Below are 14,662 nucleotides of genomic sequence, written 5' to 3'. Positions count from 1 at the left end.
TTGTCCTTTAATCGGCAAAAGTCTTCCTAACTTTACAAATGCTGAAACAACGCAGCGTGAGTGGAGGGTGGTTTCAGCATTTGTAAAGTTAGGAGGACTATTTTTTTTTTTTTTAATGAGACAGAGTCTCGCTCTGTCACCCAGGCTAGAGTGCAGTGGTGCGATCTCGGCTCTCTGCAACATCTGCCTCCAGGATTGAAGCGATTCTCCTGCCTCAGCCTCCCCAATAGCTGGGATTACAGGTGTGTGCCACCACGCCCAGCTAATTTTCGTGTTTTTAGTAGAGACGAGGTTTCACTGTGTTGGCCAGGCTGGTCTCGAACTCCCGGCCTCAAGTGATCCGCCTGCCTCGGCCTCCCAAAGTGCTGGGATTACAGGCGTGAGACACCGTGTCCGGCCTGTAAAGTTAGGAAAACTTTTGAGACAAAAATACTATTATTATTGTTTTGATTCTCTTAAACACATCTATACTTAATTCTAAACATTTTGGGGCTGAAAGATGCTTGCTACTGTGGAAGGGACTTTGCCACACCTGGTGATTTGAGGGCCGCCTTCTCAGCTGGCAGAATGTCTTCGGCCAGTGTGGCCTGACTGAGTTGCCTACATTCCTGCCCACTGCCTCATGGGACATGGAGCACGACGGGGCTACTGGCCAGCCGGATGCATCCTCAGCCCCTCATTCTCTGTCTGCTCACGCCAGTCTGAAGCCCCCCACCCAGGGCCTTCCAAATTTGATTGGATTCAGCTAATCAGTTTACTGACTCATTCTGCTGTGATCTCTTTTCATAGTCCTCCTCTCCATCAGGGCAGACTCTATAGAGGACACCTAATGACTGGTGATTGGATTCTCTGTCTCTCCCGGGGCTTTTGTGACAGTTCTGAGGTCACCCGAAGGACAGGGGTTGGGAAAACACGACTACTGCCCAGGAAGAGGCTCAGAGCAGAGGGTGGCCCTGGGAAGCAGGAGCTGCTGCGAGGGCCGAGGGGCCACAGGGATGCCCCAGTCTTCCTGCTTTTGCCAACCGCAGGCTCTTCATCCAGCTGCTGCAGAAACCAAGCGATGTCTCCAAGAAGGCCGGCTATGCGGAAGAGCCTGGGCTTCAGGATCACACAGGCCTGGTGGAGGAGGCAGCCGCCTGGCCTTACCTACCCAGCAATGTTGGCAAGGTGCTCCTCCCTCTAGTGTCACCCATGAAACGAACAAACCATGGACAGGGCCTTCACGTGCCCTCCTGGGCAGCGCAGGTGTGAGCACTAAGCGGGGCCTGGTGCTCGGGGAGCTCCTCGTAAATGTCAGTCCCCTTCTCCGCGGTGGCGTCCTCCTGAGCTCCGCCCAAAGGAGGCTGGGGCCAGGGCAGGCAGTTTATGTACTGAGTGTTTCCTAGGTGCCAGCCTCCAGGCTGTCCACACACTCTTTTTTTTTTTCTTTTTTGAGACGAAGTCTCGCTCTTGTCGCCCAGGCTGGAGTGCAATGGCGCGACCTGGGCTCACCGCAACCTCTGCCTCCCGGGTTCAGACGATTCTCCTGCCTCACCCTCATGAGTAGCTGGGATTACAGGCACCCGCCACCACACCCAGCTAATTTTTTGTATTTTTAGTAGAGATGATGTTTCACCGTGTTGGCCAGGCTGGTCTCAAGCTCCTGACCTCGGGTGATCCACCCACCTTGGCCTCCCAAAGTGCTGGGATTACAGGCATGAGCCACCGTGCCCGGCCCCACACACTCTCTTATTTCACCAATGCAACAGCCGCATGAGACAGTAATCAGCATCCATTCAGTACCAGGGCTCCGAGAGATCCAGTAACCTGCCCAAAGTCACACAGCTTAAGAACAGTGGAGCTGGGCTTTGTACCCAGCCAGTCTCACTCCTCAGCCTCCTGGTCTTGGTCCCTGTGCTGTCCTTCCCCAGGGCCCTGGTCGCCCACAATGGGCTTGGCCAGACCAGGCGGCAGGAGGAGGCAGCGTGACAAGAGCTTTTTCCACAGTGGAGACGATTCCATTCCATCTCCTCGTCACTCCCTCCTCAATTATCTCACCACCTGGAACCTGAGAGAATGCAATCCACTTCGAAGGCAGAGTCTCACAGATGAAAGCCATGGCCTGCAACCCAGGCTGACAGCCCCGTGGCGGGGGCACCTGCCTGAGCCTCGCTGGCCCTGAGTGGAGGGCGGGGGCCGCAGGGAGGTGGAGAAGCCGCATGGCGAGTGGGCAGAGGCCGTTGTCTTGGTAACTCAGGCTGAGCTGACGCTGGCCCTCCTGGGATTTTTCCCTGTGATGAAAGGTGCGGTGAGGAGAGGGCGGGAGAGGAGCAGGGAACTTACCCAGCACCCTCCTTCCATGGAGGGGGGTTGCTGACTTAATAAGGACCAAAGGCAGCTTTGAGGATTCTTTTCTGCAGGAAACCTCAATCCCAGGTTTGAGACGTGGCTGAGTGAGGTAGGGGGTGCTGGGGAAGCCAGGCCCCTGGGGTGCAGCAGGGGAAGGGGTCTCCCCCACACCTGTACCCCATGGGGAAAGTCCTCAGGTTACAAACCCCATCCCAGGCCAGGGACAGCTCTTGCAAGGACCCAGTGGATCTGTGGCCCTGAGGGGAAGTGGGAGAGGCTCCTGCGAGGTGGGCCTGATGGTTCGGTGGTTAGAGCTCAGCCGGGGGAGGCCATGAGTCTCCTCTGCTTCCCAGGTGGTCACTTCCTTTTCCTCATCAGTAATGGGAAGATAATTGCAACCTTCTGGATTGGTTAAATGATGTATTGCTGCAAAGCCCTTAGCTCTAGCGGATGCCCCCATCCAAATGGATGGTGTTGCCATTACCATGCCTGGGGTGGGGAGGTCTAGCCCCAGCTTAACCAAGACCTTCACCCAAAGAACTGTGGGCAGTGGTCGGGAGGGCAGGGCAGCTTCCTCTTTTTTTCTCTTTCCTTTTCTTTTTTTAAGTGGCTTGCAGAATTGCAAAATCATCTCCCTTGTACTCAAAAGGATACAGAAGAGAAGCTTGCCCTGCCCGCTCTCAGGCAAGAGCACGTCCGCCATTGATCCATTATTCATTCAAGTTGCTTCTCTTTTAAGGATGTGGCCCGAGAGGTGGGTGGCCCAGGATGGGCAGGAGGGTCCAGGTTGCCTCTGCTCAACATTCTTTGCTCTGCCAGCCTATCGGCTCTGCCTTCTCTGTGAAGAGACCCCCATCTGCACGCCCACCCCCCCGTAATAGACATGACTTTGCAGTCAAACATCCACGTGCTCTAACCCAGGCCCCCGCGTACCTAGGCCGCATCTTGAGGAAGTGACGACGTGAGAGGCCAAACCTGGTCTCGTAACTGACTGTCCCCCAAAGCACCAACCCTGCTTGACCGTCGAGGGGGCTGTGCTGTACGCTGAGAGCTAAGGATGAGAACGTCTCTAATGAGGAGCAGGTGGATGGGCCCGGGAGGGGCTACATATGTTTTCTAAAGCTGCTTCCTCCGTACCACTGTGCAGGGCTCCCAGGACACCCCCCGCTGCCCAGGGGCAATGCTTCATTCCTCAGCAGCACCATGACAAGGTTCCTGTGTGTTGCATATGAATCAGAAGAGATTCGTTTCTTAGGCAGTTGATATGTGCACGGCCCTATGCTGAGGCCCTTTGTGCCAACTGCATGCTGGAGGGAATGTTATATCCATTTCACAGATGAGATAAGTGAGGCGCACAGGGGCGAAGTCCCTTGCTATTTAGAGGGGTATTTCCAGGAGGAGACCCTAGTCTAGGATTTCAGGGCAAGCGATTTCATGAAAGAAGAGCTCGAAGGAGAAGCTGGTAAGGAGTGAGGGAGGCAGGAAAGGGAAGAGGGAGACAGCAATAGGGTGGGTTTAAGAGAGGGCTGAGCTCAGCCTGCTCCCACGAGGTGCACTGGAGCATAGAGTGCACCCTCAGCTTTGCCTCATCCCAAGGCCAGGAGCTGGGCTTTTGCACCCGGCACCAGTCAATGGCTGCAAAGCCAAGCCTTGAGATGCTGGCGGAACGGAGGCAGTGCTCACAGAGGGGACTCAAGGGGGACCTGGCAGGGACACCAAAGGTCCTCCTCGTACTTGACTTGCAAGTCACACACCTCGCAAGTGGCAGAGCCAGGGTTCAAACCTAGCTCTGACCACTTGGGACGTTTCCCACTGCCCCAGCCTGCCCCGCCAGGGCCAGCTCTCTGTCCTCACTCAGAGCCTGCCCTTCCTCTCCAATCCCTGCTCTCTGCTTGGAAGCGAAGAGCCATGTTCTAGGCGCTGAAATGACACCAGCATAGATCGTCTGCTTTTATTATACCATGTATCGTATCATGCTCTAATCCACAGCCTCGCCATGGAAAATATAGACAGCGCGTCTCATGTATTATTTATGCAGTGGGACTCTGGGCTGGAGTAACATGGGGGCAGCCTTAGATATATACACGCTTGGCTCTGCAAACTCGGAGAAGTCCCTGTGCACAGAGGAACAATTAGACATTCCTGAATTAGGGCCCTTCTCTTTCGGTGACACCACAAACAAATGCTAAACAAAAAGTGAGTTGATTTAAAGAAAACGATTCTGGCTGGGCACAGCGGCTCAAGCCTGTAATCCCAGCAATTTGGGAGGCTGAAGCGGGTAGATCACTTGAGGTCAGGAGTTCAAGACCAGCCTGGTCAACATGGTGAAACCTCAACTCTACTAAAAATACAAAAATTGGCCGGGCGTGGTGGCACACGCCTGTAATCCCAGCTCCTCAGGAGGCTGAGGAATGAGGATCACTTGAACCCGGGAAGCAGAGGTTGCAGTGAGCGGAGAACATGCCATTGTACTCCAGCCTGGGTGATGGAGTAAGACTCGGTCTCAAAAAATAAAACAAAACAAGACAAAACAAAATAAAATAAGATAATAAAATAAAACAAAACCATTCTGTGACTGATTCTTTTTTTTTTTTTTTTTTTTTTTTGAGACGGAGTCTCGCTTTGTCACCCAGGTTGGAGTGCAGTGGCACGATCTCAGCTCACTGCAAGCTCCGCCTACCAGGTACACACCATTCTCCTGCCTCAGCCTCCCGAGTAGCTGAGACTACAGGCACCCGCCACCACGCCCGGCTAATTTTTTGTATTTTTAGTAGAGACGGGGTTTCACTGTGTTAGCCAGGATGGTCTCGATCTCCTGACCTCGTGATCCGCCCGCCTTGGCCTCCCAAAGTGCTGGGATTACAGGCGTGAGCCACCGCGCCCAGCCTCTGTGACTGATTCTTATTGGCCCATGGGTCTGGCAGGTGATGGAGGTTTGGGGAACACGGACTCAGATCACACTCCCCTTTGGGGAGATGTCCAGGAAGGGGAGGCGGGTCCAGCGATGCGTTCCTGGGATCATCCTTTCTGCCCTGTACCGAGCATCAACTCTGCACAGTCATCTCTTCCCGCAGCACCTCACTGACCGCACTCTGCACAGCACCCTGTGAAGTGGACGTCACTGAACCCATGTCCGGTGGCTCTCGCTGCCTGTCCCCCTTGGAGTGAGGTGTGGCCCTATGGCTCCCTCCAGCCAAGGAATCCAGACAGGGAGGGATGTGGGCTGCGTTCAGGTGTGGGAACCAATTAGCTGGGTGCGGTGGCTCATGCCTGTAATCCCAGCACTTTGGGAGGCCGAGGCGGGTGGATCACGAGGTCAGGAGATCGAGACCCTCCGGGCTAACACGGTGAAATCCCATCTCTACCAAAAATACAAAAAATTAGCCGGGCGTGGTGGCACCTGCCTGTAGTCCCAGCTACTCGGGAGGCTGAGGCAGGAGAATTGCTTTAACTCAGGAGGCGGAGGTTGCAGTGAGCTGAGATGGTACCGCTGCACTCCAGCCTGGGCTACAGAGTGAGACTCTGTTTCAAAAAAAAAAAAAAAAAATGTGGGAACCCCTGGCTCTCCCTCCACGTGTTCTGGCTCCTGTCAGCCTGGTTTCCAGAGCCCGTGGGGGATGGGTGTACCGTGTGAGAGAAGAACAAACTTGCGCTTTCCAGGCCGTGAGATTCGGGGGTTGTTACCCATCCTCTCGTGCCGATCGAGCATTTAACAGATAAGCACACAGTCAGGGCCAGACGCGCAAAGCGACCTTTCTGAGGTCATGCTGCTTGGAAATGGGGCAGCTGGGACACAGGGCAAGTCTCTTCACCCAGCTCAGGCTGCCAGAGTTGGACCCAGCCCCTATACCACCTCCTGGCACCAGCTTCCTTCCATCCCTGGGGCCAGCTGACTTTTTCAAAAGGCCAATCTGTCAACACGTCCCCTCAAGCGACACCTAGGCCTCTCCCAGAGCCCTCTGCTCTCCCCCGTGCGCTCAGCCTCACACCTCCGGGCCTTGGGGTGGCTGCCCTGGTCTTTCCGAGGACTCCTCCTCCCTCCACTACTCCCTACAAATCCACTGTCCATCCAGGAGCCAGTCCATCTTTCCCAAATGTGCGTCGGCTTACACCGTCTCCTGTCCAACGCCTGTTGCTGGCTCCGAAGCGCCCCTGGTGAAAGAGCCCTGGCGTGGCTCGCCAGGTCCGCCTGCTTTGGCCGCCGCGGGCCTCTCCACCTCACTCGCAGCACTCTTCATTTTGGGCCAGATGCTCCAGCCACACTGGCTCTTTCAGTCCCTCAGACACCGTGCTCATTCTGTTGCAGGCCTCGCAAGGCTGTTCCTGCTGCCCGGAACACTCTTCCCTGCAATTTTAGCCCAGCTCATTCACACCTCAGCTTCGGACCTCATCTCAGACACCTAAGAGGCTACTGCCGCGGGGGTCCAGCCACGAACTCTGTGTGTGTGTGTGTGTGTGTGTGTGTGTGTGTGTGCGCGCGCGTGTGCATGTATGTGCGCATGCATGCATGCCTGTGTGTGCGTGTGAACCCCGCCTCCCCTCACACCTGCCCCAGATGCTGCAGCCCCTGACCAGCCCCAGCCCTCGTGTGTTAAGCTTGCTGTTATTTCCCTGTTCAAGGCTCATCTCTCCCACTAGGACAGCAGCCTCATGCCGGGGGATTTGCCTTATTATTTTGTATCCCAGGGGCCTCGCCCAGCACCTGGCCCAAAGGAGGTCTTCAGTGAATACAGTCGGCCCTTCATATCCATGGGTTCTGCATCTGTGGATTCAACCAACCTCGGATTGAAAATATTTTTTAAAAAGGTTTGTACCTGTACTGAATATGTAGAGACTTTTTTCTTGTCATTATTCCCCTAAACAATACAATGTAACAACTATTTACATAGCACTTACATTGCATTAGGTATTATAAGTAATCTACAGATGATTTAAAGTACACGGGAGGATGTGTGTAGGTTATGTGCAAATGCTATGCCATTTTGTAGAAGAGCCTAGAGTATCCGTGGATTTTGGTATCCACAGGGGTCCTGGAACCAATCCCACATCGATATCCAGGGACAACTGTATTCACAGAATGAATGAGTGAGTGAGTAAATGAAGGCTTTACATTGCTTGATACCATGAGTGGCCATGAGTCAGGGAAAATGTATTTGAATTTCTCTGTCCAGGACACAGACCCAGCCACCCCTCAGGGAACTGCACCCAGGTGATGACCTCTCATGGATAAGCCACTGCCCTTCAGAGGGCGGCACCGTGTGTGAATTCACTGTCCGTCCTGCTCACAGGCCTGGCTGCACCTGAGATCCCTGTGCTTAGGGTCTGTGCTCTCTGAGGTTCATACACAGAGTCACTCATTCCTAAGAGTCAGGCCTCAAGCCCTGGAGCGTGGACCCCACAATGGTGCAGTGTCACCCGTCAGAAAGACCGTGAGCTTTGGAGCCAGAGAGACCCCGTTCCAGTCCCTCCTGCTAGCTGTGTGACCTTGGAGAGTCACTGAACATCTTGGTGGAAGCCTCTGTTTTCTCCTCTGCAGAATGGGCATAAAATGATGCCCACCTCCAAGAGCTGCCATGAGGATTCAGAGTCCATGTCCAGAGTCTTCAGCTGTTACGGTCATGACCTTGGCCTCCCAGCCCTGCCCTGTGGACCTGCACACCCAGGCAGGGACTGCTGACCCTGAGATTCAAGGTGTTAAAACATGAGTTGGAGGGCACATGTTCTCAGGATCTCCTGAGGGCTGTGTCACGGGCCATTGGTCACTATAAAATTAAATTAGGCCAGGTGCGGTGGCTTACGCCTGTAATCCCAGCATTTAGAGAGGCCAAGGTGGGCAGATCACCTGAGGTCAGGAGTTCGAGACCAGCCTGGCCAACATGGCTAAACCCCGTCTCTACTAAAAATAGAAATTTAGCAGGGCATGGTGGCACGTGCCTATAGTCCCAGCTACTCAAGAGGCTGAGGCAGGAGAATCACTTGAACCTGGGAGGCGGAGGTTGCAGTGAGCCGAGATCGTGTCACAGCACTCCAGCCTAGGCAACAGAATGAGACCCCATCTCAAATAATTAATTAATTAATTAAAAACGAGTTAGCTTTTTTTAAAAAAACTTATTTTAGATTCAAGGGTACATGTGCAGGTTTGTTATATGGATAAACTGCGTGTCACGGGGGTTTGGTGTACCGACAGTTTGATCACCCCAGTAATAAGCATAGTACCCAGTAGGTATTTTTTAATCCTTTCCCTCCTCCCAATCCCCACCCTTGAGTAGGCCCCCGTGTGTGTTGTTCCCCTCCTTATGTCCATGTATTCTTGTTGTTTAGCTCCCACTTACAAGTGAGAATACACGGTATTTGGTTTTCTGTCCCTGCACTTAGTTTGCTTAGGATAATGGCCACCAGCTCAATCCATGTTGCTGCAAAGGACATGACCTTGTTCTTTTTCATGGCTGCATAGTATTCTGTGGTGTATATGTACCACGTTTTCTTTATCCGGTCCACTATTGATGGGCATCGTGGTTAAATCTATGTCTTTGCTTGTGTGAATAGTGATGTAATGAACATGTACATGCATGCATCTTTATGGTAGAATGATTTATATTCCTTTGGGTATATACCCAATAATGGGATTGCTGAGTCGAACTGTAATTCTGTTTTAGGTTCTTTGAGGTCTTCCTACACTGCTTTCCATAATAGCTGAACTAATTTACGCCCCCTCCAGCAGTGGGCAAGTGTTCTGAAATACAGGTTAGCTCTCAGTGGAGACTTTCTCTCACACAGTCAGAAGGACCTGAGGGGCATTGACGATGGAGACTTTCACATCTGTAAAAGCCACTCACCTGTATGCACTCTCAGGGTGGAGGTACCTGCTGCAGGTGTGACGTCATTAAAGGTTGTCCCCACCGCAGATGGTGACCTCACCTAGGGAAAAGTCCCAGGTGTCCTACCAGGCTGTCTGGAGCTGGGCAGGGGCGCTGAACAGTGGTATCTGGGGGGAGATAAATTGATGGGCCATTTGGTGACCATTCTGTCTTCTCCCTGAGCTCAGGGAGGGGCTTGGTGCTTCCAGACCCCTGTTGCTTGTTTTTCTTTCTTTCTTTCTTTTTTTTTTTTTTGAGCAGAGCTCACCTGAGGTGGACAGAGTCTCCCTCTGTTGCCCAGGCTGGAGTGCAGTGGCACAATCTCGGCTCACTGCAACCTCTGCATCCCGGGTTCAAGCGATTCTCCTGCCTCAGCTCCCGAGTAGCTGGGATTACAGGCACCCACCACCAAGCCCAGCTAATTTTTTGTATTTTTAGTAGAGACAGGGTTTCACCGTGTTGGCCAGACTGGTCTCGAACTCCTGACCTCAAGTGATCCACCCACCTCAGCCTCCCAAAGTGTTGGGATTACAGGCGTGAGCCACTGCACCCAGCCTGGTGCTCATTTTTCTATTGAACTCCTTGCCGTGTTTCCAAGCCTGTGATCCTCTTGCCGTCATTAGCTATGGATGAGCAGAAGTCCCTGAGGTTGGAGAGGAATGAGAGGGATTGGGAAGGTGTGGGGAGCAGCCAGAATTGCAGGGTCCATGGCCTGGGTGGGGATTGCACCTGGGTAGGCGTCGCATCGGCCTCATTCCCACGGCCCCCGGGGAGTTCTGTGTGCCTCCCGCCTGGCAGAGGCTCCTAGAGACACTGGGAATCAGGTCTGTCCTCTGTGGCCCCACTTACTGCCTCCTCCGGGGACAGAGCTGCGCAGGGATGACCATGAGATCAACTGTGAGGCTGCAGGTGACTGCACGGCTCAGAAAAGAATTGCAGCTCCCTTGGCGGATCCCCCAGAACCCCCTGTGATGAGCTTTGGGAACATTTTCACCTCTTCATCAACGGGTACCCACTCGGGGCCAGCCGGAGGCAGGGGGAGGGGAACACTACCAGGCAGCATGCAGACGCAACTCCAGCCACCACCGCCCACAGGGGCAGACTAGCAAGAGGACCGTTTCGTGCCATGAGCTGTGATGGGAGGTACAGGCTGTGCACTGAGAGGCACCCATGACAGCTGGGGCAGGAGGCCGGCGGTCAGAGAAGACTGGCCCTGAGGATTGAACCGGGGTGAGCTGCGATACAAGGCAGAGGGGGGTGTTCCAGGCAGAGGGAGCAGCTTGCGCAAAGCCCGGGACGAAAGACAGAGGCAGGGCGTTTGTGTTCAGTGAGCTGAAGAAGACCAGGGTGGCTGGTACCCAGGGGGACAGGGGAGTGTGGCACCGGCTGGAGGGGTGGGCACCGGCAGCCCCTAGGATGGAGTCTGGGCTTTGTCTTACAGCTAGAGGCGGACGTGGATCAGGGAAGGGAAGCATTCTGCTCTGGCCCTCCTGTCCCACCCGGGAGGTGGCAGGGTCCATACCCAGCCCTGCTCAGCCCACCACCTGTCCTTGGCTCTAGAAGGTGGAGCCGGAGACTTTGAGTTGCTCAGGGGCCACCCAAACAGACAATGATGGCGACCGTTACGCCCCAGCCTCCGAGGTCTGCTGGAGGGTCATTTAAACAGCCGGAGGGTATTTGGGAGTCTGGGGCCAGGCTGCGGGAGGCAGGGAGCAGAGCTCACCTGCAGGTGGACGGCTGCACCTGCAGAGAAAGGTCACCCTGTGTTCGCCTCCATGGACCTGGTGCTCGATTGCCTTAGTTTACCCTCTGGGTGCCCACAGAACCAGGTTAATCCCTTCCACACAGCACAGCCACAAGGGAGTTTAGGCCTGGGCAAATAGCACACAGGGCCCTGGCTGCTGGGGGTGGGCTCAGTGACCCTTGGTGACTGTTCCCTCACACCATCTCCTCCTACTGCAAAGGCAGGACCCACTTACTGCTGGTCGCTGTCCCAGAGGCTGGCAGAGACGTCAGAGAAGGCAGGGCTGGCATCTCACGAATGGGAAGTGGGCATAACTGGGTAGCCTCCTCTGGTTGGGCCCTCAGTGGGCTGTGTGGCTGGGGCAGCCTGAGGTACCAGCCAAGGCCCCAGCCCATCTGCTGAGATTTCAAAGGCAAATGTTCTGAGAAAGAATGGGGCTTAATAAGCTCGGAGATCGATTCCACTGAAGGGAAGGAGAGAGGGAGAGATCAGAGAGACCTGGAGCAATACAGAGATAACAGCAGAGACAGACAGAGGGACAGAGACACAGAGACAGAGGGACAGAGACACAGAGACAGAGGGACAGAGACAGAGCACAGAGACAGAGGGAGCAGAGAGACACAGAGACAGAGGGACAGAGACACAGACAGAGCACAGAGACAGAGGGGGCAGAGAGACACAGAGACACAGCACAGAGACAGAGGGGACAGAGACACAGAGACAGAGGGGGCAGAGAGACACAGAGACAGTGGGAGCAGAAAGACACAGAGACACAGCACAGAGACAGAGGGGACAGAGACACAGAGTCACAGCACAGAGACAGAGGGGACAGAGACACAGAGTCACAGCACAGAGACAGAGGGCGCAGAGAGACACAGGCAGACACACAGAGAAAGAGGGAAGGAGAGAAACAGAAGCAGACACAGAGACAGATAAATACAGAGCTTCACAACAGAGACACACAGAGAGACACAGACCACAGAGACAGAGACACATGGAGAGACACAGACCACAGAGAGAGACACATAAAGACCACAGAGACAGAGACACACAGAGAGACACAGACCACAGAGACAGAGACACACGGACAGACACAGACCACAGAGAGAGACACATAAAGAGACACAGACCACAGAGACAGAGACACACAGAGAGACACAGACCACAGAGACAGAGACACATGGACAGATACAGACCACAGAGACAGGGAGACATGGAGAGATACAGACCACAGAGACAGAGAGACACAGACCACAGACCATAGAGAGAGAGACACACAGACAGACAGACACGGACCACAGAGACAGAGACACATGGAGAGATACAGACCACAGAGACATACGGAGAGACACAGAGACACACACACCATGGAGACAAAGAGAATCAGAGCCCTGCCCTACACAGAAACACAGACACACACACAGACAGAGACACAGGGAGACACACACCACAGGGAGAAAGAGAGGCCGGGCCCTGCCTCCCGACTACAGAAACAGAGACATGCAGAGACACACACTGAGACAGAGAGAGGTGGAGACACTGGGGCCTCCCAGACAATGAGAAAGTCAGTGAACCAGGGGAGGAGGGGAAGTCTCTGCTTGTGAACCAGTGGGGCGGGGGCAGAGGGGCCTGGGAGGGCCCGAGGGTCTGAGCCTCCTCAGGAAGCTGGAGAAGCTGCTGTGGGGCCGGCCCCTCCCCTAGCTCACTGGGGTCTCGGCTTGGTCCTCTTGCCCCTTAGGAGCATGAGGGGCACACAGGCTGCAGCTGTCCTTTCCGGAAACTTCCCGTACGCCAGGTCCATCCTGTGACCCAATGACCATCAGTGAGTTAAGCTCCGAGAATTCCCACTTCCAGATGAGAAAACAGGCTGGGCTCATATAACGGCCCCTCACAAAGATGGGATTTGGGTGCAGGCCTTTTCAGCTTTTTCAGCTTTGAACACGCATTTCTATCACCCAAGTCTATGCCTCTTAAAGTCAAAAGCAGGCAGGTGCTTTCTTAAGAATGGACAATGCCCATCACTAGTGGCAGAAAGGCTTTCACTCCCTCCCTCCTCCCTTCTTCCCTTCTCCATTCCTTCCTCTCTCCTCCCTCCCTTCCTCCCTCCTCCCTCCTGCCTCCTCCCTCCCTTCCTCCTTTCTTCCTCCCTCCCTCCTTCCCTCCTTCCTTTCTTCCTCTTTCCTGCCCTTCCTCCCTTCCTTCCTTCCTCTCTCTCTCTTTGCCCTTCCTTTTGGAACATGTGTCTCCACCTCTCTCTGTCTCAGTGTGTGTCTCTGCATGTCTCTGTTTCTGCAGTCGGGAGGCAGGGCCCGGGCTCTCTTTCTCCCTGTGGTGTGTGTCTCCCCGTGTGTCTCTGTCTCTGTGTGTGTCTCTGTTTCTCTGTAGGGCAGAACTCTGATTCTCTTTGTCTCCAGTATGGAGTCTGGCTATAGTAGATTATTAATAAAAAATTTTTAGCTAAGCGCAATGGTTCATGCCTGTAATCCCAGCATGAGGGAATTATGCTTTGGGAGGCCAAAGCAGGTGGATCAGTTGAGGCCAGGAGTTCAAGACAAGTCTGGGCAACATGAAGAAACCCTATCTCTACAAAAATAGAAAAATTAGCTGAGCGTGGTAGTGCATGCCTGTAGTCCCAGTTACTCAGCAGGTTGAGGTTGGAGAATTGTTTGAGCCTGGGAGGCTGAGGCTACAGTGAGCCACTGCACTCCAGCCTGGCTAACAGAGCAAGAGCCTGTCTCAAAAAAATAAAAAAGAAAAAGAAACAAAATGAACACCATGTTAAAATGTAGGTGTCTCTTGTTCCCTCCACAGTTCTTCACAGGCCTGTCCTGAGTTCTCCCACGCACAGATTGCCAGGTCTCTCGCCTCCTTCTCCAAGCTCAAAAACCACGCACAGCCTCTGCGATGCATGAGCTTCCTGAGCTGAGGCACCTCAACTCGAGTGGCCAGGGCTGGGCCCGGAGCCTCGAGGTGCCCCACCCCACCCCGCCATGCCCAGGCAGATCGGACCCTGTCTGGACGGTAACCTGGCTGGTGGTTCTTCCCACCACCACCAGGCAGCAGTTACTAGGTGCTCACTGTGGCCAGGCACGCACGAGATCCCTTTCCATCCTCACCTCCCCACCAGGAGGAAGAGCCTTTTTTTTGAGACAGAGTTTCACTCTTGTCACCCAGACTGGAGTGCAATGTCACGATCTTGGCTCACTGCAACCTCTGCCTTCTGGGTTCAAGCGATTCTCCTGCCTCAGCCTCCTGAGTAGCTGGGATTACAGGCATGTGCCACCATGCCCAGCTAATTTTTTTTTGTATTATTAGTATAGACGGGGTTTCACCATGTTGGCCGGGCTGGTCTTGAACTCCTGGCCTCAGATGATCCACCCACCTCGGCCTCCGAAAGTGCTGGGATTATAGGCGTGAGCCACCTCGCCCAGCCTATTTTATTTTTTTGAGAGGGAGTCTTGCTCTGTCACCCAGGCTGGAGTGCAGTGGCACAATCTCCGCTCACTGCAACCTCTGCCTCCCGGGTTCAAACGATTCTCAGGCCTCAGTCTCCCGAGTAGCTGGAGCTACAGGAATGCGCCACCAGGCCTGGCTAATTTTTTTGTGTTTTTAGTAGAGACAGGTTTTTGCCATGTGGCCAGGCTGGTGTCAAACTTGTGGCTTCAAGTGGTCCGCCCGCCTCAGCCTCCCAAAATGCTGGGATTACAGGCCTGAGCCACCGCGCCTGGCCCAT

At 54.2% G+C, this 14,662-nt stretch overlaps 1 annotated feature.

The window, feature by feature from the left end:
• Positions 2,112–2,632: an enhancer, noted in NCBI's record as "H3K4me1 hESC enhancer chr9:133856871-133857391 (GRCh37/hg19 assembly coordinates)". NCBI's record gives its function as "activates a minimal SCP1, AML or CMV promoter by ChIP-STARR-seq in naive H9 embryonic stem cells {active_cell/tissue: H9 hESC(naive)}" and the evidence as "EXISTENCE:reporter gene assay evidence [ECO:0000049][PMID:30033119]".

This window comes from Homo sapiens, chromosome 9, assembly GCF_000001405.40.
Source record: "Homo sapiens chromosome 9, GRCh38.p14 Primary Assembly".
NCBI classification, from domain to species: domain Eukaryota; kingdom Metazoa; phylum Chordata; class Mammalia; order Primates; family Hominidae; genus Homo; species Homo sapiens.
The sequence above is the reverse complement of the archived record's forward strand: the minus strand, read 5'-3'. Positions and strand labels throughout refer to the sequence as shown.